The sequence below is a fragment of the Homo sapiens genome, chromosome 5 (assembly GCF_000001405.40).
Source record: "Homo sapiens chromosome 5, GRCh38.p14 Primary Assembly".
In the NCBI taxonomy this organism is placed as follows: Eukaryota; Metazoa; Chordata; class Mammalia; order Primates; family Hominidae; genus Homo; species Homo sapiens.
This window is the reverse complement of record NC_000005.10, coordinates 162,062,727-162,085,427: the sequence shown is the minus strand read 5'-3', so window position 1 is coordinate 162,085,427 and position 22,701 is coordinate 162,062,727. Positions and strand designations below refer to the sequence as shown.

The 22,701-nt window shown below is 34.6% G+C and overlaps 1 protein-coding gene across 15 annotated transcripts in view; it reads right to left on the bottom strand.

Annotated features, from left to right (window-relative positions):
- GABRG2 (gamma-aminobutyric acid type A receptor subunit gamma2) overlaps nucleotides 1-17,963 on the bottom strand; it is an 88,075-nt gene extending 70,112 nt beyond the window's left edge. For 8 of the 15 annotated variants that reach the window (NM_001375343.1, NM_001375344.1, NM_001375340.1 and 5 more), the window contains exon 1: nucleotides 17,322-17,963. In NM_001375343.1, the coding sequence (NP_001362272.1) occupies nucleotides 17,322-17,428 (107 nt within the window). In that variant the 5' untranslated portion in view covers nucleotides 17,429-17,963. Of the gene's footprint in view, nucleotides 1-1,806; nucleotides 1,928-17,321 lie in introns of all 15 variants that reach the window. The other 7 variants (NM_001375346.1, NM_001375345.1, NM_198903.2 and 4 more) reach the window with 5 other exon arrangements.

Here is a 22,701-nt window from a genome sequence, read left to right as displayed (position 1 = left end):
GTTAGAAAGAAATGTTAACAAATGATTATTAAACTGGAATATTTCTCATTTATCTCTTTATAAAGCACTTCAGTAGAATTATTTACAACATGTTAAAAATAGTATTTTCACTTTCTCATTTGTGTATACCTTGCTACAGAATAAAAGCTATGATGACCTCGTTCCACTTAATATATGTACAAGGAAGCTCACAGTTGCATTATTTGTCACATACAGAAATAAATAAAACTCAAATCAACAGTAAAATGGGTAAATAAAATATGGCATATGCATATAATGAAATATCGTACAACAATGCAAATTTGTGAAATATCACTACATACAATATTGACGGCCTCATAACCTGCATGACCTTGGGAAAACTGGGACAGCTTGTCTTGCACACTACACACTAACATGGAAGTTTTAAAGGCAGTAACCTGAAGTGGGTTCATAATTACGTTAGTCTCATGCAGCATTTTTTTTTTATCAAATGGTAGAACTTATACACTATACTTGTTATTGGACTATAATGATAACATGGTGACAAAGTCAGTGTAATAAAGAAGGCTTCCTCTCCTTCACTCCAGAAACACACATTGACTGCATTTCTTGCCATGTTCTATGAAAATCCAAGACCAATTTTAACCAGAGAAGATATGCAAACCATAAAAGAGAAGGACGTAATTATTTACCATCAAGAAATGTATCAAGTAGGAAATACTTTGTATTTCTTCATTTATATGATGACTAACATATTACAAATATGCAAGGTGCGGCATATACTGAGTTTTCAAAATAAGACATAGGCTAGTCACTCTTATCCCTGGCTGTATGTTAATATTAAGTGGAGGGCTTTAAAGAAATGCCAGTCTGAAATCCTACCTTATACTGATTTAATTGGTCTCTATGAGACCAAGACTTTGGTATTCAGCTAATTCTAAGGTGCAGCCGTAATTAAGAGCTACTGCAAGAGAGTATGATAGAACCACCTGGACTTTCTTTTCTTAGAGTAAATAATTACTTTGGTAACTGCTTTTAGGTAAGTCAGACGTCACTTGCTATAGTGTTTCATGGTAAACTGAAAATTCAAAATAGCATCATCTTCAATATTTTTGTGATATTAAGATAGCCCCGTATTAGCATTTCCTAAGGCTTGGGACATCTGCTCTAGTACACAGACAATTTTAATTAAGTGTCACATAGGTACAGTATTAAAAGACATTGAAACATATAATTAGAAAGTTTTTCCCTTTTTAATTTTCCTTCAGCATATCTAATTATACTGAGGGCAAAGTCTCAGTTTATTTCTAATTTGTCTTTAGCCACTCTTTTCAATTTGCTAATCTGCCTTCTGAAGAGAACAAGAGCAAGCTTGGCATATCTGGGAGACAAAATACGTAATTAAAATTTGATTACATTGTTCTGGTACCATTGAATTTATTTGCAGTTGTCTTCTAATATGAAAAGTGACACTGATTTCCAGTTTGTATTGTTTTTATTAAATGCATTAAATAAAATAATTTTACTGAAAAAATACTTTGTTTTATGAAAAAAGTTCAGTCATAAATGACCACGTATTACTTAGATGTGGCAAAAAACGTTGAACTTGGGAAACAGTGACTTACAGATTCAGATTTCTTGATCCTTCATTAAACAGCTTATATTTGAGACTCTTTTTTGAAAACAGTGCAGATGGAAAGAAGTACAAAGTATAATGCTGATATCAAAACACTCCTCATCTATTTAAGGAGACAAATACCTGAACAGCTAGGAAAAAAACAACGCTTAAATAACAATGCAAGACAATACCAAAAACGTTCTCACAATGTAGAACATGACTTAGCTCTGTCAGGATCTCCAACTTGATATTGAGGTTATTTCTATCAATGTTTTTCTTCATTCATTTTCAAATCTCAATTTATGTGGGTAAGAAGAAAGTTTTCTTCTAGAATACAAAATATTTTGAGGAACCGATAAAACTTTTGATTTTTTCTGTAGCAAAAACGTTCATATATACAAACATACATAATTTTTTAAATATTTGCAAGGAGTCCACAGATGGATAGGAGATTTTCTGTGCACTTTGACATGACACATGAACAAAAGATTAAACTGTCTCAGATTTAGAATCATTTAAAGGTCACTGAGAACAAGTGTATGAAAATGAAGGCTGGTTCCATATTTAGGCAGATATTCAAATGTATCGAATGTATTTGAAAATTCATATTGCTCTATGGTGACAGGAAATGAAATATTCCAATTTTATTTTCATGTTTAGATATTTGAAATGGTGGAGCAAAATTTTTCAGATAGTTGATTAAATTTTCATTTTCATACACTACTAGTTTTAACAACATGTGTACATACATCTGAATGACCATAATTCTGGAAATTTTTCTTGTTCATCTTTTTTTATACTTTTCTGTTTGTTTGTTTCTTTCTTTTCTAAAATTGTGCTAAAAATTCATCTTTAGATTCAAGGTAAACAAATGCCAAATCTGCCCTCGTGGTCATGGCCAATTCTAGAAGACTACTACTAAGTTTTCATCGACTCTTTATAGATAAAATATTTTCTCAAAATCAAGGTTTTATTGTTCGCTTTAAAAGTTAATCAAGTCTTTTCTTATTTTTTCTTCTTGTTGTTAGTACTGTTCTTGTTCCTCCTTCCTCCTACTCTCGTTATATAAATAGCTTATTTTTATCTCTATATAATATGAATTTACATAACTAGGAATTATGAATACTCCAGATTATAGAAATTTGTGTTCATTCACTCATTTGTGTTTATTCACAGACATCTCTTATGAGCTAAGCACTATTCTTAGCACTTAGAATTATTACTTTTTTAAAAAAGTTCCATATTGAGAGTGAACAAATTAGTTCTTCATGAACCCATTTTGGAAAGTCCAAAATTACATTTGTTCCTGGAATTCTGGAACAATATAAAAAATCCCCAATGAAATTTGAAAACATTCTAACTTCACACCAATTTTAAGCATGTGTTACGTCAAAAAGGTTTATATAATAGAAGAGGGCTGTTTGTGTAATTTACAGATTTACAAGTTTAGATCTTTCAACACACAATAAGGCTAAAAGCCTTAAATTAATATGAATTCATATTACAAAATGAGAGTGCCTTAATGAAATAACAAGATAAAGTACTGTCTTTTCTGGCAGTATATTATCATCTCTTACAAACGGCTGCAACACTAATGTGCATATTGTAAAATTAGGCTCTTATAGAATCCATGCTTCTTCCCCCATCTTCCCTATTATTACTTTCTCTAGTCTTTCTAATATCCATTGGGTACATAATCACCAGTAGTATCAAGGCAGAACACATAAGCACTGAAAAGTTCATAATTAATTCAATCAAGTATGTACTCTCAAGGGGAAAAAAACTTCATTTTGTCTAGAAAACTGAATGTGATCATTTTTTACGTAAGCATTTCTGGGAAAAAACTTAGCTGGATAGTCACTGTGTTTTAAAATCTGTTATTCTGTAAGATAAGTTTTTAATTATCCCATGTAAATATTTAGGCATGGAATTACTGTGTAATATGTTAGGTGTATGTTTAACCTTATAAGAAAATCCTAAACTGTTTTCCTGAGTAGCTATACCATTTTCATTCATACTAGCTATGTAGTTCGAGTTGCTTCACATCCTCACCACACTTGGACTTGCTAGAGTGGTTTTTATTTTGCCCATTCTAATAGATGTGTGGTGATATCATATTATGATTTTAATTTGCATTTGCCTAATGGGTAATGGCTAATGATGTTGAACCTCTTTTCCTGTGCTTATTTGACACATCAACAACTTAGATGAATCTCAAAAGTATTATGCTAAATGAACTGTATGTGTCTCTAATTATATTCTTGAAAGAAAAATCTTCAATGATGAGTAACAGATCAGTTTTAAGGAGTAAAGGATTTTGTAGTTGTTGTTGTTGTTTGCTTTTGTTTTGTTCTTGTGAGTACCATAAGTACCACTCAAACCAAGAATACTGATTTGGGCTGTGCTTATGGTACTCAAGAGAACAAATATATGTGTTAAAATGTATGTAAGTATACACGAAGAGGTCAATTATGCTGTATGATAACTTAAAAATACAACTATTATTCTGTAACCTAATCATTAAACTTTAAAAAATATTCTCTGCCATTAGATATTTGTGGAAATTTCCTAATAATAAAGTATGAGATAATTGGGCTTAAAATTTTAAAAAATTTTTTGGGAGAAATAAAATTTCATTAATGAACTAGTACTCTGGTTTCCTATTAATTTTGTATACAATTTTTAATCTCTTTTTTACTATTTGCCTGGATTTATACACAGATTAAGTTCAATAACAAATTTTATCGGTAGGAAATAAGTATACTTTTGTCAATGGTCTCTATGAGAATCCCTTAAAATTTTAAACATTCAATTAATGCACAAATCATAATAATTAAGTTGGAATTTAGCAATAGTCTTTGCCATTTATTAGATGCAAAGTATTTAGCTCTGTAAAAACAAATCTATTTACACACATTAGTTAAATATAATGCAATTATTTCATTACAATGCCATAAAATAAGTATGTTTTAAATCATTGACATAATAGTAAAATCAATAACTGGTTCTTGGTCTCGCTAAGATTTTGCAGTAGGATGTAGAACAACACGTTATATAACTCTGATGAAGCTAAAAGTCAGCACTTGAGTTAATTGCCAAGCAACTGAAAACTGGCAGGTAAAACGCAACCCTCACCATTCCCCAGATCATATAGGTACACTTTTCCCTAAGAATGAAACTGATGGTATTAGTATATGAAGTCTTACCCCTTATCCAAACTCCTTACCTAGAATGCAATTCAAATTACTTACAATGGTTTTGAGACCGTACATTAGGAAATAGCTTTCTGCCTCCCAAGTTCTTCCCCTAGACTTTTTCATTCTCAATCAATCTTCCAGTCACCTGGACCTTCCTTTCATTCTTAAATTACACCAAGTGCTTATTTCTTTGGGGATCCTTGTACCTGCTGTTACCTATGATGATAATGGTCTTCCCTTCAACATTTTCATGCTGGGCTCCTTTCCTTCTCTCATAGTCTCAACTTCTTATCCATTATTCATAATTGCCTTCCCTGGCCAGTATATGCAAAGTAAAATTTATTTGATTATTTTCAACACACCACACTTGTAAGTTATTTCCTCAACACTATCACAATTTGAAGCTTATTTAGTTTGTTTGTTTACTGTCTGCTTTCCCCCAGACATCAAGATCTATTTCCTAGTACAGTGGCATGCAAGTATTAGAAACTCAATAAACATTTATTGAAGACAGGAAGACAGGAAGTAGGCGGGAAGGAATTTGTCCACCTTGCATTTATATTCATTCTACATTTAACACAGTACTTCAGAGCTCAACAAGGGCCAAATGGTATCTTATGTTAGCTTATTTCAGGGGAAAAATGAACAGAATCATGTGCGTTTATGGGTTTAAAAATGCAAAAATTAGCTGAGCATGGTGGTGCACCCCTGTAATCTCAGCTACTCAGGAGGCTGAGGTGGGAGAATTGCTTGAACCCAGGAGACAGAGGCTGCAGTGAGCTATCGCACCACTGCACTCCAGCCTGGGCGACAGAGTGAGACCCTGTCTCAATAAAAATAAGTAAATAAAATAAAAATAAATAATGTTTGAGTATAAGATATATATCTGGGTACACAATTACCTTGTATCAGAATCAATAAGGGAAGTAAATAAATACATAGGTATGACATTGTCTACAAGTAAATTTATAAAAGCAGTGTTATATATTATCATATTATATATATTATTTTTTTAAATTATGCCCTTCTCCTAGAATATAGGCTTTACAAGAGCAAGGATTATGTTTGCCTTGTTCAGCACTATATCTTCAGCAGCTGGCAGGGTGCTAGCAACATAGTGGGTAGGAATTAATAAAACGTGATTAACAAAATAAATAGGAATTCAGGAGAGTATAATATAGTGTAGGTCACCTGAATCAGAGTATAAACTACAATCTCTAATTTTGTGCTTTACGTGCATGTGCACTTCTCTGATATATTTTATTGAAACTTAAACAACTGTTAAGAATCTGCTTGGTATATATCACTTACAACCTGAAGTAAAGGAGACTAAAATTGAATCAAGAAATCTTTCCATCCTCATTTGAGTTTCTAGAATTTACTGTGATGCTTGGTCATCAGAGAAATTGAGCTGCACGTGCAAAGGGAAGTCAGTCTCCCAAGAGGACTTCCATCATGGACCATGGAAACTGTAAATGGCCTGTTGACCACAAGAGTACCTGGAAAATTACAATCAACTGTAATAGATATTTTGAGGAGTATGTGAGTACTCACATATTTTTGTTTTTATGACACTGAGTTCATTTTATTTCATTTTTAAATTATTAATTATATAATATTAATCTATTTAATTTAAACAAATTAAATAAATTTAATTATTAATATATAAAAGATTTTTTTATGAAGTGACATGCAATGTGACTGAAAGGTTGTAGACTTTTGTTTATCTAGACAAAGTTACTTTTATTATTTCAGGCTTTAAAATACAATAATTCACTTAGTTAAATATCGTTCCATGTATGACCTCACTTTTTAAACTTTAAATGGAAAATATCTATAACAAAATTATATCTCAAATCCTGAGCCATCACACTGATGAAAATTCTGTATTGAAGATGACATGCTTAAAAAATAATAGGTCGGGGTGGCCGGGCACGGTGGCTCATACCTGTAATCCCAGCATTTTGGGAGGCCAAGGCGGGTGGATCAGGAGGTCAGGAGATTGAGACCATCCTGGCTAACATGGTGAAACCTCGTCTCTACTAAAAATGTAAAAAATTATCCGGGCATGGTGGCAGGCACCTGTAGTCCCAGATACTCAGGAGGCTGAAGTGGGAGAATGCATGAACCTGGGAGGCGCAGCTTGCAGTGAGCGGAGATCAAGCCACTGCACTCCAGCCCAGGCGATAGAGCAAGACTCCGTCTCAAAAAAAAAAAAAAAAAAAAAAAAAAATATATATATATATATATATATATATATAGTAAGATGCTCTGAAAGTAATGCCTGTAAAGGTGACAGGAAAATAAACCCAGTGTTTAAAGGGATCTGATTAATTTTAATGTGGCATAACACTATTTGTGAGGATACAATGAGAAGAGCAATTTGCAAACCAGAAGGCCCTCACCAGAACCCAGCCATGGTGGCATTCTGATCTCAGACTTCCAGCCTCTAGAACTGTGAGAAACACATTTCTGTTGTTTATAAGCCATGTATTCTATGGTGTTTTGTTTTAGTAGCAGAAGCTACTTCCTACTAAGTAGGAATCAGCTTCATGTAGATCCCTCCCATTATACATCAGGATAGGTCTGTATCACCAACAGCATATGACAGAAGCGATGGTGTATAATTTTTGACACTTTCTTGTAAAGACTATGGCTTTCATCTTGAAAGCCCTCTCTCCCACTCCCTTCCTCCCTCCTCCTTTCCTCCCCCAATCCTCTCTGTCTCCTCTCTCCAACTCTCCAACCCCATGTAGAGCTCAAAAGACAAGAAACGGGAACTTCCTTTTAATAGCCACATTGGAGTGAGCATGAAAGTTGATTTTCTAGCACCTTAAGATGGCCAGGACCCTGCTAAACAACTTGACTGCAATCTTACGAGAGATCCTAAACTGCAATTACCAAGCTACCCATTATTGGATTCCTGCTCCTCAGACACTGCAAAATAAGACGTGTTTCTTATTTTAAACTGCTAACTTTTGGATAACTGGTAATGTAGACATAGATAACTAATGCAAAGACAGATGATATCTAAGGTTGCAATGACTTAAAGTAACTTAAACTGTCATACATTGAAATAGTGTTTTGCTAAGTTTCTTATAATAAAATACATCTATGCTACATCCTAGACATTTCATCAAGAATAATAACAGATGCCTACAGCAACACTTGTACAATAACATTCATGACAGTTTGTTTTCAATTAGCCTCAAACTAGAAGCATCAAGGGGATACTGGGTAAATGCACTGTAATTCATACCATGGAATTCATAATAATAAAAAAGAACTCATATGCATAAGTATTATATCTCAGAAATATTATGTTGAGCAAAAGAAGCTGGGTTAAAAAGGTAAAGCACATTGTTAATTTCATTATTATGAAGTTGTGCAACAGAAAAATATAAATCTATGGTGAAAGAAATTGGAAAAGAGGCTACCAGGGGCAAGCAGGGATTGGAGAGAAGAAGAATGATGATTATTAAAGAAGCACAATAAAACATACTGATGTGATAGAAACATCACACACACACACACACACACACACACACACACACACAGGGGTAGTTGTTATAATACTGCATACATTTGGAAAACACTTCATCTAACTGTATATTAAATTCTGAATAATTTATTGAATCTATATTATGTCTTTATTTAAAAATAGTTGCAGGGGAAAAGTCTATTATGTGGTGAGTGAATTGGAAGGTAGCAAAAACATATTCAGAAAGGTATTTTGGGCAGTGTTGTAGTGACCCAGGTGACAGATGATGTTGAATTTTGTTATATGATCAGATGTATGAGGCACAAAGAAAAATGAAAAGTTAGTCATGACCCTGAATAGCAAAATACCAGCTTAGATTGTTTCCTTCCTCATTACTCTCCAGATTCCACAACCACTGCTTCCACTTCATGCTGTCCAATATAGACCTGACCATCAAGAGTAGCAACCTGAGTTTGCTCTGAATAATGAGTTGAATAAATTTGCCTAGCAACTCAGGGATAATGTTTTACAATGTCTTTGGGAAAATATCCTTCTTTACATACAGTGACAAAATTATCTTCAGGAAGGAGTCTTGTATGACAGGATGTATTTTCTCATTTAAATAGAAGCTATTTCACATTGTTAGAGATATTACTAAGTTCAATGTTTACACAGGCATTCTCAAAATTCAGGGACCTCTACCCAATTTGCTTATCTCATACAAGTCAAAGCAAGAAACTGAAGAATTAGAAAAGTTGTATTTAAAAAAATCCCTCTTCTACACTCCCACAAAGTTCAGAGTTTAGCAGGGATGGGGAGCGTACTTGTGCCTCTGGTGATATATCAGGGGATAAATAATGTCCTGTATTAAACAATAACAATAAGAGTAACAAAAATAACACCATGTAAAGGTCACTAACTATGTGCCCCTTAATATGTATTATATCAATTCCTACTCAAAATAAACTTAAGAAAAATTATTATCTTCCTTTTTATTTGAGACGGGGTCTCACTCTGTCACCCAGGCTTGAGTACAGTGGTGCAAACATGGCTCACTGCAGCCTTGAACTCCTGGGCTGAAGTGATCCTCCTGAATTAGCCTCCCAAGAAGCTAGGACCACAGGCGTGCACTACCATACCCAGTTAATTTTTTTTTTTTTCTTGAAATAGGGTCACACCATGTTGCCCAGGCCAGTTTGGAATGCCTGGGCACAAGCGATCCTCCTGCCTCAGCTTCCCAAATCTTCCTTTTTTAATATGAAAAGACAGAGTGAAACTGGTTGACTGAGGGTCATCAAACTGAACCCTGATCAAGTGTGTCTGAAGAGCTTATGCTATTAACAAGTATACTATGCTGTGGAAACGGTTTGTTTGTTCATTTTCTTTTATTTTTTTTTCCTGACAGCCATATATGCTGACTTACAGTGAGATACTGTAAAAAAAGTTGAAAATATTTCCTTTTTAGGAAAAGAATAAAATTTGGGGGAAAATGAGTGCAATTTTTATTACTTAATTAAGCATATAATTATTGAACATCCGTTAGAGGCTAGGCATGCTATGAAAGGTGAGTTGTATCAATGGCATCTCTTCTGTTGTGGGTCCTGGCTTCTAGCTGAGAGAGATAGAAAATCAAAAAGTAAAAAGAATAAACCAATAAATAACATTTTTTTTTCTGATTAATTACTAAAGGCTATAAGTAAGTACTAGGGCAAAGTAAAGCAGAGAGGATTAGAGGACTTAGGAGTACAAGGTGGAGTGGAGTTTGCAATATTACACTGAGTGGTAGGTGCAGGCTTTATTGAGAAGGTGAGCTCTGAGCAAAAACTTCAAAAAGGTGAGTTAATCAGTGGATATGTGAAACACATTGCACAGGGAACACAATGTTATACAAAATTTTCCCTATGTTATCATGACTAATTTCCCGATACTGAGAAAAGAAGATGACAAACATCATATTCTCATTTAATATAGATGTGGTACACTGCTAAGAAGGAATAGAACTTTCTATAAAATATTAGTAAAACAACCCTCAGTGCCTTTTCTTTCCTTCCCCCTCCTCGCAGCTAGGTGATAGAAGTTTAAGGATTAAATGACAGAGGAGTACTTGTGGAAGAGGGTTATTTGTTTAGCAATAGAAGGAACTGTTCAATTACTTATCTCCTACCATAGTGGGAGGTAGCTCCACTTCTGCCTACGGAAATCAGGTAATTCACTCTTAAATGTCCACCATAAAAAGACTAAGAGGCCAATTCTTATCTCTACTACAAATACAAAAACTTTTACAACCTCTTAGCATTCTCTAAACAAGAGTGGTTAGAAAATTCCTGGGGAAATTTGGCCTGTATTCTCTATAATGCAAAAATCCCAGAATTGGCTCAAATGATATTCGTTTCATAAATTAATTAAGAAATTATACATTAATTTCTACTTTTATGTTTAGAGTTGCTTTCCTCAATTATGTATCTCAAGTGTGTTTTCAAAAGCAATTTATAAAAAAGAACTGATAACCAGCAAAAAAAGAACACGTGAAAGCATCAATCATTTTTTCCTATCAAGATTATAATGACATATTATATTCAGCTTGTTTTTGCCATTTTATTTATATAAATATACAGTAAGTTCTGCAATTTCTTTAGATGTATTTAAGCAAATACACACTGTATATTTGTCTTACTAGGTAGACTTTGGCTTTACAGCAACACTTGGGTTCATGGCAGGGTTTCAATTATAACAAAGGATCTTTGCTTTAAAACAACCCTTGTTTTCTCCACGATTATGTTGTTTGGTACTTACATGGTTTTCTTTATGAATGGGTGGAGAGTGTTGTATCAGTGCTACTTATTTAGCATTTACATGGTATTTTATCTATGCAGAGTTATACAATGATTTTTATAATAATATAGAATTATTGCCATAGTTTGTGCTCTTATATCATAATACTGTAGGGATTAATATGATTTAGAGTTAAGTTTTATTTTTACCCTAAACCACTAATGTGTAACTTGAAAGGAGCTTTTTATTTCCTTTTTTAAAGGAAATTTATTCTCTAGTATGGGGGACAAATGAATGGGAAATAACCCTCCCCAGTAATGCAAGTTAGAGAGGACTTTTACATCTCTAAACAACCAAAGTATTTTCTTACATTTAGATAAAAAAAGCCGGGGGGTGACTATACTTGTGCAATGTGATGTATTGCGCTATGAATTCAAGGAGGGGGTCTTAACTCTGTTCTACAGCCAATAGTAAAGGATCCTTGAAGAAGTCCCTTAATCTCTCAATATCTCATTTTCTACAGTTGTCAGAAGAAAATATTATCTTTTTCATCTAATTCATGAGTCTACTGAGAGAATAAAACTGTGAATGCAAACGTTTCTGTAAAACTGTAAAATCCCTATTACTTTCTAGAAATTATAGCTTCTTATTACTCTAGAAATTAAAACATAAGAGCTTTTCTGTTGTTACCACATAGTAACATTAATTAACCAGTTGCTAGTATGATTGGGGTGATTAAAAATATGTCATCTTTGAATATCTATATATTAAAACTATACATATCCAAATATGAAGTTGTAATATTATTTCTACTTTAATATTGAGTATCGTTGCTTCACTTTTGTCTTCCACTTTTCTAAGAATTTTTGTAAGAAAACTGGAGGACAACATTGAGCAAGTTTCCTATAGATTTGCTCAATAAAAAGCAAGATCTCCTCTTTAAAAATGGAATGACATGCTATAGTTAAGTTTCTGGATGAATAATTAAGTGCAGATTAAACTATGCTTTACTTACATAGACACAAACAATGAGGAAATATATATTCTAAACATAATATTTGTTCAGCTCTAAATAATTCCATTTAATATGCTCTTATATTAAAAAAAAAACCTAATTTCAGACTGCTGCTAAGCATTTCTGTCTAGACCTTTCAATCAAAACAAAAAAACATAATGTAATAGTGATGTTATTGGTGGAGACTGAGTATCTTAAACCATGTCCTTCTATAGATTCGACATTTTGATTTATTCAGTGGGCTGAATGGATGTAAAGTATCTGTTGTAGATTCTATTAACTGAAGACAGAATGAGAGAATCATGAATATTAAAACTAGTAAATAACTTATAGATCATCCAGTCTACCTGTTACACTTCTAGGAACACTATTGATGGATTGAGACCCCAAACTGATTAAAAAAACACATAAGATAATATTGACAGATCTAAAAACCCAAGTTATTATGATTCATATGTATACACATATATAAACATCATTATATATGTATACATGTTTACTTATATCCACATTCATACTTATTATAGTATGTTGCTTCTAATCTATTATGTTTAAGTAAGTCATTTAATCTATCTATAATCTTGGTTTCCTAGTCTCTCAAATGTGGTTGATGATAAATACTTTGCGGAGTCACAGGATTGTGTCTGTGTATGTGTGTTTGTGTTTGTGTGTATTATTTGATTCAGTGTGTATGTATAACATGACACAAGCAGCGCATAAAATTGATATTATCTTATGGCTATTTGGTTTCTGGCTTTGAAGAGGTCACATAGGTGTCTGATCCCCTGGCAGCAGAAAGACGCATTGTCTTCTGCATGTCTACCTGAATAAAGTATCACATCTGGAATATTCATCTCAATTGAAATCATGAATCTTTAAGCATTTGAATTGTGCCGACACCCACAGTGGTCAAACAATCTCCAAACTACTCTGATTATAACTTTTCATTATAATTCAATCTTCTTAATCAGCCAATTTGGCAGAAGTGTTTGGAGAACGATAAGTATGTATAATTCCAGTAAAGCCTACTTGTACCTAAACTGAAAAGCCTGTCTTGGAATGGCTGGGAAATTGTAGTAGGGAGGTAGCCAGGACCCTAGTAACATAATATTTATAGCAAAGAGATACAGTATCTAAAATTAGTCTTAACTTCCTTCCAATCTGAACGGAAATCCTTGGAATGAAACAATTTTTTGAAGTATAGAACAGAGACCTCTATCATTAAAATATATATGCTTTAAATCAATTATTTTGAGGAAATTACCTGATCTAAATGAATCTAGGACGTGAAAGAGACATTTATATAACTCATTATTTAAATTACAAGCCAATTTTCAACTTCTGCCTACAATTCAGGTGTTTTGTTTAGGTAGTAGTGGGTGACTGGGTTCTGGGAAATACTGGGTGATGAGTATTTACGTTCTGTTTTTCTTTATTTTTTTTTTCAGGTTAATGGCCTCAGGGTAACCTTTTGAATTTGAAAGGTAGAGTCCCTACCATTCAAATAGTCTACCCAGTCTACCTCAGGATAGACTATTTGAAGGGTTTTGTCTACAACTAAAGCAATTTAGTACGCTGAGGAAATAAAGATTTTTCTGGTGGATACCAGATGGGGCATTTAGAAAGACAGGAAATGACAAGCTTGTCTGTAGAGATTAATTCTGTAAACAAATAAGGGTATATTGAAGAATCAAAATATTTTTTTCTACATGCATAGTCCTAGCCAGTTAAAGAAACATGTAAAATAAAATTATGGAATAAAAACACTTTAGCAGCTCATAAGAAACATCATCAAAAGCATCTTTGTTTAGGTAGCAGATAAAAATAGAAAATATGTATAAACCATTAACTGTATTTTCTTTTTAAAAATTCAGAATGAGCACTTAAAAGTAAAGTTTAGACAGATCATCAAAAATTCAGTCCATTTTATTTCTGCTCAATTTATCCTTGAAAAATAATTATTTGTCACTCTAAGTATATTACAAAATCTTGTTTTATTCTAATAAAATAAAAACATTTTATGTTTCAGTTATTCTTATTTACTCTAAATTATTTTTTATGTTTTTCTATATATTTTTTTCCCTTTAGGGTATTTTTACTCTGAGATGGAATAAAATTACACTGAAAAAGTTTATAAAGTTATAAGATTTGTTTTAAAATCTCTATGCATATATATGTGGTATATATATAGTTTTTCAATATAATCACATACACATTTATATATGTATATATGTTTTATTTTTTTGGAGCCAATATCTTCTTATAACTAATGTTGGTGTATTCTTTATACTATTCCTTATGCTTTGTTATATGTATAATATTCTCAATGATTTACATACAAATAAAAGATTGAAGTTAAATTGATTCATTCTGCCCAACTGAATAATAAAGTATGAATAATCAAAACACCTTTAAATATTAAATATGATGATAAACTTTTGGAAATCAGAAAAGTATAGACCACTTTTCTTCAAAGTGAGGTCTAGGGTACTTGTTGAAAATACTCCTGTTGAATATTCCTTTTCTCCCCAGACATAATGATTCAAAAGCATTCAGTGTATAGTGTAGGAATCTCCATTTTAGTAAGTTCCCCAGGTTATTTTTTATGACAGCACAAGCTATGTGAATGTTTCAAAAATTTTGGGTTTCAGAAATTAACTATTTCACTTATAAGAAGAGATATTAGTTATTAATATTCTCACTACGATGCTTTATTTTTCTCTTTGTTTCACTTTTGTAAAGACATAGACTAATAAATTTTGTCACTTAATGAGGGCGAAAACAATCTTTTGAGTTACATAAATAAAAAACCAATTTTTTTTTTATTTATCTTTAACTTTCTAGGTGGTTCTGCTACTACTGTCTACCACAAAAGTATTATTTCATAAGTACCACTTCCTATGGACTCCTCATGTCTCAAATATTTCCCAGTTATTTATTGTCCTTCCTCAGGATCAACTTTATAAATCAAAGCTTCTATTTACCTCCAGTCCTACTCAACAATTCAAATGACTTTTTTTATGGGATTGCAGCAGACTGAAACTCTGATCACATTCTCTGCACCAAACAGCAATGACTCCATTCTCTGTCACTATGAGAGAATGTAAAAATTACCACTTTTGGGAGTTTCCATTACAGATAGCTCATATTTATAGAGCTCTTTTAAAAAACTCATCTAAGATAGTCTGGTACAAATTGAAAATTAAAATGTATCATCAAATTTACTTTGTATAAGACATTGAAATGGAAAAGGTGGGGCTGTGGCAACAAGAAGACATCTTAAATACTATTTTCTTATAAACTATAGTAAAGTTAAACATGTTTAGGTTAAAATAGGGTTACTGGAGAGAAAATACATAATATTTTATCTATTAAGTTAGACAACTGTTTACTAAGATGGAGATGAGTCAAAAAGAAAGACATTCCCTTGTGTCTTGTCTAGATTTTAATCCACAGGTTTCATTAATGGTAGAAATAGGGGAAAGATATTTTCTTTTAGTAAGTAACTGTTTTCTAATTTCCGAAACAAATTAATAGCTATCCACAACCTTAAGTATAAAAATGAATTCAAATTTTGAATCAAAAAATTACTTTTTTCAGGATTTCACCAAATTGTATTACATATAAGACTGTTTCCAGTAAAAGGCCCTCTCATATTCTGAGAAAGCTACTGAAATGTTATAATCCTAGTGAAAATACATTCTATTTTTATAGTAAATTAGTAAGGTACAAAAAGTGCTGGAAGAGTTAAGCAGACCCTCTCTCTGTTTAGAAACTCCAAAGTGAGGCTTTCACTCTTTGTTTTGCCTGGGTCTCTTTATCATAAATCTATCTGTCTTATTACCCATCTTACAGAAGAGGGGGCCAGAGAAGTTGCCTAGTTTCAATAATTTTTTTAAAAACTAGTTTAACCTCCATCCTTTTCAGCTGCTTTTGTTACAACTACCATGTAAGATTGTCGACCCACAAAAAAATGTTAGGGCACTGTCTTGATATTTTCTATAGCTAGTTTTTGTTTGTGTCTTTCTTTATATTGGTAGGATATGAGAGGTATATTTATAGAACTTTATTTCAAAATGAAAGTATAGAAGAATGCAAGTAATGTAAATAGTGGACCTCTAACATGGCTTTGGTCCTAGTTAGAAAGCTTGGAGAGCGGGGAAGGTGCTTAGGTAGGTAGACGAATAGTCAGCTAGGCTGCATGGATGGTTGCTCCTCTAATACTCTTAGCTCAGGAAAGTTCAAGTAAATTTAAATGCCGGGCACTTCAGGGCATACACATTCTCAGGGTTTTCAGGAGTCCAGTCTCCAGCCTTACCTTTTTTTTTCTATTCAGTGCAGCAAGGTTTTAAAACATTAATGTGTACTTCACGATTATGGCATCACATTCACCTGGTTCAGCATATTTTCCAACACTGCAGCAAGGCCAACTCTTTTCCAGACGTATATTCCCCTATGCAATCATTTAACTACGTTCTCCACCCTATGCCCAATAGTCCCCTTCCCATATCAAGGAGGGAGTAGAGGTAAACAGATCAGGATCTGTATATTTCATTAGTGCCCCGTGGCTTCATTGGCCTTCTCTCTGACTCTGTGGATGCCCTGAGTATATTTAGAGACGTTCTATCAGGTTAGACAAGCCTCTATCCCTTTGGCCCTCACCAGGACTGCTGTCCCTGGTGCTGAACCATGTTTGCACACGGGTAGTTGGCTGTTGGGTCAATGGGACTGGATGCAAAACCTGGCTGACTGACCTTAAGAATGCCAGGTGCAGAAGCATGCGATGCCTTAGTACACAGGAACAGGGCCGCCCGCCGCCCCTCCCCCCAGCTCCCTCACACATATCTCTCCGGTGTGCGCCAGGACCCATTTGTAAATTTCTCCATCAGACCCCCACCCAAAATGCTTGCAACACGGCCTCAAATGCCGGCGTGTATCAGCACAGCCCACTCCGATATCAGATTGCAATAATGTCAAAATGCTACTCCCTAAATATTTAGTCTTTATGAGGTTACCTTTTCCACTCTAAAACCAAACAAAAAATAAAATAAAATCCAATAAATGAATACATTAACGAAAGTGACCTTCCACTTTCCTCCCTCCAGTCCCCGCCCCATATATTCGCTCTCTCCTAAATTGTAAAGCCGCACATCCTAGGAGAGTGTTTTAAATCTGGGTGGTCTCCCGAGTTACCCCTCCCCACACCTTCCCCCCACCTCTTCAGAACAAAACGACGCCAAAAAGGGCACATCTTACCCAGGGTAGAGCGACAGCAGGAGCAGAATCCACACCGTCATTTTCTGTGAAAATACAGGAGTCGAGTAGACTGAGCTTCCTGTGCTCCATATATTTGGCGAACTCATCGCTTTTTTTTTTTTCCTTCTCTCGCCTCTTGCCTCTTGGTTGCAGAAGAATCCCTCCCCTTTGTATTATTCTTATGCTTATGATCTGATGGTGGCTCCCCCCACCTGCCTCTAGTAGGTCCTTCACTGGGGAGATGGATTGCTACCAGATTAGGGAATTAATATTCAGGGGGCAGAGATAAGATCAGCAAAAACGCTTGCAGATACCATCAAAGCGTCACTCTGGCAGCGGCTTCCAAGTCTGGGGGAGTAATATCATCGAGGCAGGGGGAGGGTACAAGGAGAGACTCATACGGAGACAAATAAGGGAGAGGGAAAGACACGCACACTCGTGTATACTCATGCCCCTCACACTTACGCGTTCTCCCCTGGGTCCATCTCTTTGGGGTTATTTATTTGTTTGTTTTGATTTTTTTTCTTTTACAGGGGGCAGAGCCCTGTGGGTGTGTGTATTTAAAATAAATAGGAAAAAAATCACTAGAGACTCTGCGTGATTAACTATCACGCAGATTAACTATGAGGTCAAAGTGGAAGTGATGCACGCTGCTGCAGCACGAATTAACACATGCGTGGTGTCTTTCCAAAGCTTTTTAACCCTTTACTGCACACACCAGCATGCAAGGACTGGCATTCATGGGGACAAGAGATGCTTTAGCAAGCCCAGAAGCTACATCATCAATGACAGAAGGTTTGTGGTCGTCAGATCTGCCAAGAATCCTTATTTTAAACTCGTACAGTCTTAGAAATCATGGTTGCATTGTTAGAGCTGGGGGAGCAGACAGTGGGGGAGGTGTGAGTGTCTCAGTAAGTCATCCTGTAGGCAGACAGATTTGGTGAATTCAATTTGAATGAGAGAAGAAAACATTGATAGAATTAAAGGACATGGAGAAATTCTATGCTACTCAAGATTCATTCCTCCCTTGTCAGTTCTCCAACCCCAGTGAAAATGCACAGACACAAAACTGCTTGAAGTTTGACAAATGTAATTGCGTGGGGATAGCTGCTTGAATAAAGATTACACATCACAAAATAGGAGGGCTGTTTTTTGAAGGAAGGGTGGGCAGAGGGGTATAATCAGGAGGTCATTTAACAATGCAAAGGGATTTCTGTTTGTCATGTGGGGGGTTGATTTTTTGTTCTTGGTAATAATCCCGAAAGTTTTTAGTTTGGATGAGTGGTATTAGTATGCTTCTTTCTTGCCTAGAATGTTACTATAGATACTAATATGTAGAAGATACCCCCTTTATGCCAAACCAGTTCATCCACCACAGAGGAAATCCCTTTCATTAATCATGAAAAATAAAGTGGGGGAGTGTTTCATGGTTCTTTAAAGTCAAGATACCACATTGAAAGTATGCAGGAAGCAGTAGTAGTGATGAGGAACAATCTTAGCTCTTTGTGGAAAGTGACAAGGAGTTGTTTCAAAATAAGTGCCTTTTTTGCAAGAAAAAAGTCTTCCAGGAATGGAACTTGGGTAAGGAGTCTAGGAGACATAGGAATAGAACATGAGAAAATCAGGTCCACACTCCATCACTAACACTAAAGTATATCCAAGGAAAGCAGAAAGAATTACCAGTGGCTGCTGCCCATCACATGGGCTGAGGAGATGCATCCTGACAATGAAGCAAAAAAGTCCTGACAGACCCACCTGGAATCCTGCATGGCTTCATAATTCTGCCTTAGGCAGAGTTATTCTTAAGGCATTTAGACAAAAATCCAATGAAAACCACATTCAAATGCAGTTTTGACTTCTTTCCATTGTGACTAAAATGGAGGCAGAGCAAACATAATCCCCTTTTTATATAATGCTCTTGTTCTTTGCTGCACCGTGAAGGTATTTTCCCCTTCTTTGATTTTTACTTATTTGTTTATTTATTTAATTTAGTGACAAGGTCTTGCTCTGTGACCCAGCCTGGAGTACAGTGGGACAATCATAGCTCACTGCAGCCTCGAACTCGTGGGCTGAAGCAATCCTCCTACTTCAACCTCCTAAGTAGCTGGGACTATAGGACTACATCACTATGACTGTCTAATGTCATGCCCCTTCTTATGTTCACAATTTTTATTCCAAAGAGCCTAGTTTGTTTATAGCTCTATATATTTTCTTAGTGAAATTATTCAATCACACTTTTGTAGGCTAAGATGTGTGTGTGTGTGTGTGTGTGTGTGTGTGTATGTGTGTATTTACTTAAGTGCCTACAAAACCCAAGCAAGTGAGATAAATGGAAGACATTGGCAGTTTATGAATCAGTAAAGTGGTGGAAACCATGCACACTGAAGTGCCAATACTCCATCCAAATGGAGCTGCCACTGTTCAGTTCCAGTCAGAATTGCCAGAAGAAATGGAAATAAGAATTGCAGAATAAAATGTTCTAATTTTTAAAATGCAAAGGAGGCCAAACCAAGTAGGCATCCAGGCCACAAGGTTGCAATTTTTGCACACTATATAAAATATCTACCATACATGACATTTCCAATTTTTTTGTGTTAAGTTTCTCAAGTGAGTTTATTTATTGTCAAGCATAACGAAGCTGTGAAAATGAATGCTGTCACATTCACAAAGTACTGATTCATATACTAATCCCTTATCAGTCTTATAATGGCCCCTATAAATTAGAAGCTATTGAATGATGGAATTTTGTCCAGCATATTAAGAGAAACCATAGAGGTAATTTTACTATTTATAGTATCTGAGTACAAATTTAATTGTGCCATTCATAGCTAGTAGGTGTCAGTATGCCTCTGTGGATCTTTCTTATTTGCTGACTGCTGTCTGAAAAAAAAGTATTTTAATATATTTCCTAAGATTTTACAACATGTGTTATATTCATTGGTGTTTATAAGAGATCTAGTAATTACTTTTGTTATCAACTTTGAGGTAAACTCTTGCCCCTTTTTAAGATTATACTTATAATCAATAAAGTAACCTTTATTTGATAAACATGATGCTACCTTCTCATTGCACATAGTATATATGTATATATTATAGAGGAAATATATAATATATTTTCCTATCCGATACAAATTTTATGTCTGAGATCCCTATAACAAATGACAGATTAACAATAGAAAGGCATAAATATTTATTTCATACAAATTCTATGTGACATGGGAGCCTTTAGAAATGAAAGCTCAAAAGAAACAGGGAAAATTGTATATTTTATGCTAAATCAAATAAAGAAGTGGATAGTTGTGCAGAAACATTACTGGACAAAAACAGATATGATCTAAAGGGCATAAATGGGGGAACTCAGAGAGGCCTGCTAGTTCAGATTCTTCTCCATGTCTCTGTGTCTTCAGAGATAAAGACATTGTTTTTCTCCAGGCACAGGGAGGACATCCCTTGGTTGAGGGCCTTATGACCTATTTTCAGTGGAAGGTCAACTAGGTTTTATGGCCCACTGCAGGGGAAAAGGAGCGAAGGAAATTCTCTATAGTTTCCATGGCCTGATTCAGGAGAGAAGGGGTGCAGAAGAAGGTCAGAAAGATCTTCTTGCTTCTGTGGTCTTCTCAATTTCCTTCAGTTTAAAATCCTCAGTATGCCAAGTTGCTGCATATATGTGTATATGTGTGTGTATTTATTTAATTATACTAACATTTGAAAAACATTGGAAAGTAAAAGAAGAAAACTACCACCCAAATCCACTCATCCAAACAGGCCTTGCCAATATGTTGGAAAATTGTTTTACAAGTCAATTCTCTATGAATAAAGTTTTTTTTTTTTTTGCTTATAATTTGACATTGTATTATTACTACTATTTTTGTGATAGTTACTACACCCAGAAGTGAATTATGAGGTTATAAGTTGGACAAGTTTGGTTGTTGATATCAAATCTCTCATTACTTGGAAAAGTAAAATATATCATTTATATTCTACTTCTGGTAGTGACAAAGTTGACCATTTTGTAGGTAATAATTATTACTATTGGACAAAATATTAAATAAGCAAATATGTGAAGTAGTAGGATGCTACTGAAAGGAGGCAGAAAGTGTGACGATATGGCCAATAAGAGACGAAATTGAGGCTGGGTGAGGTGGCTCACGCCTGTAATCCCAGCGCTTTGAGAGGCCGAGGTGGGCGAATACCCTGAGGTTCAACACCAGCCTGGCCAACATGGTGAAACCCCATCTCTCGTAAAAATACAAAAAATTAGCTGGGCGTAGTGGTGCGTGCCTGTCGTCCCAGCTACTTGGGAGGCTGAGGCAAGAGCAACGCTTGAACCTGGGAAGGGGAGATTGCAGTGAGCTGAGATCATGCTATTGCACTCCAGCCTGGGCGACAATAGCAAAACTCTGTCTAAATAAATAAATAAATAAATAAATAAATAAATAAATAAATTGAATTGAATTGGATGAGATCTAAGATTTTGTGGCTTTTCCCCTGTGGAAACTTCCCAGTTTTTAGCACAGAAAGTCCAACATCCAGGAAGTCCTTCCATCCCAAAAATGCAGGATGGTTAGAATCAGCAGAAGGCAGCAATCTTATTGGCTTGAGGTTTAAGAGGAAACTTTGGGGCTACCAGAGCTGCTCACTTGAGCAGGAAAATCACAGATAGAAGTATAAGACTTCACATCTGTATGTAAACTTCCTTTAAATTTTGTTTGCTTTTGTGTGGAAAAGGAGAAAAGACTTCAAGAAGCCCAGATGAAAGCAAAAATTGAGAGACTTAAAAAGTTGAGCAAATATTTCAGCTGCCACTCACTGCAGGAGACACAGAGTTTGAAGTTTGAATTCCAATAAGTGAGGGGGTCTTCATAAACCTCTCTGACATTCCTTCAAAACCCTAGAAGGACCATAACTTTTCTCTGTTCTATAACAATGGATTTACTCTAAGGACGAAAATGAGATTGACCAACCTGAAAGAGTATAAAATGAATCCTCCCCAAGATTAATTTATCGATAATTTAACTCATAATATTGATAATAAAAATCAACAGGAATCAATCAGAAGAATATAACAAATCAGAATGTCATTGATATACAAAATGTCCTGTACATTGTTTAAAAAAGTCACAAAACAGTATAAGATAATAGGATAAATATATATACATATACATATATATTTGTATATGTGGGTATGTATTTTTTTAATACAGTCAATAGAAACAGGCAAAACCTGAGAAGTTCCAGATACTGCAGTTGGCAGATAAGGATATTCAAGCAGCCACTATAAAGTAGTTAAAGAACTTAAAGAAAAATTTGGTAATGATATTTTTATGGTCAAATAAGTTAGCAGTAGTGAATCTCAGCAGATAAATGGAAATTATTATTA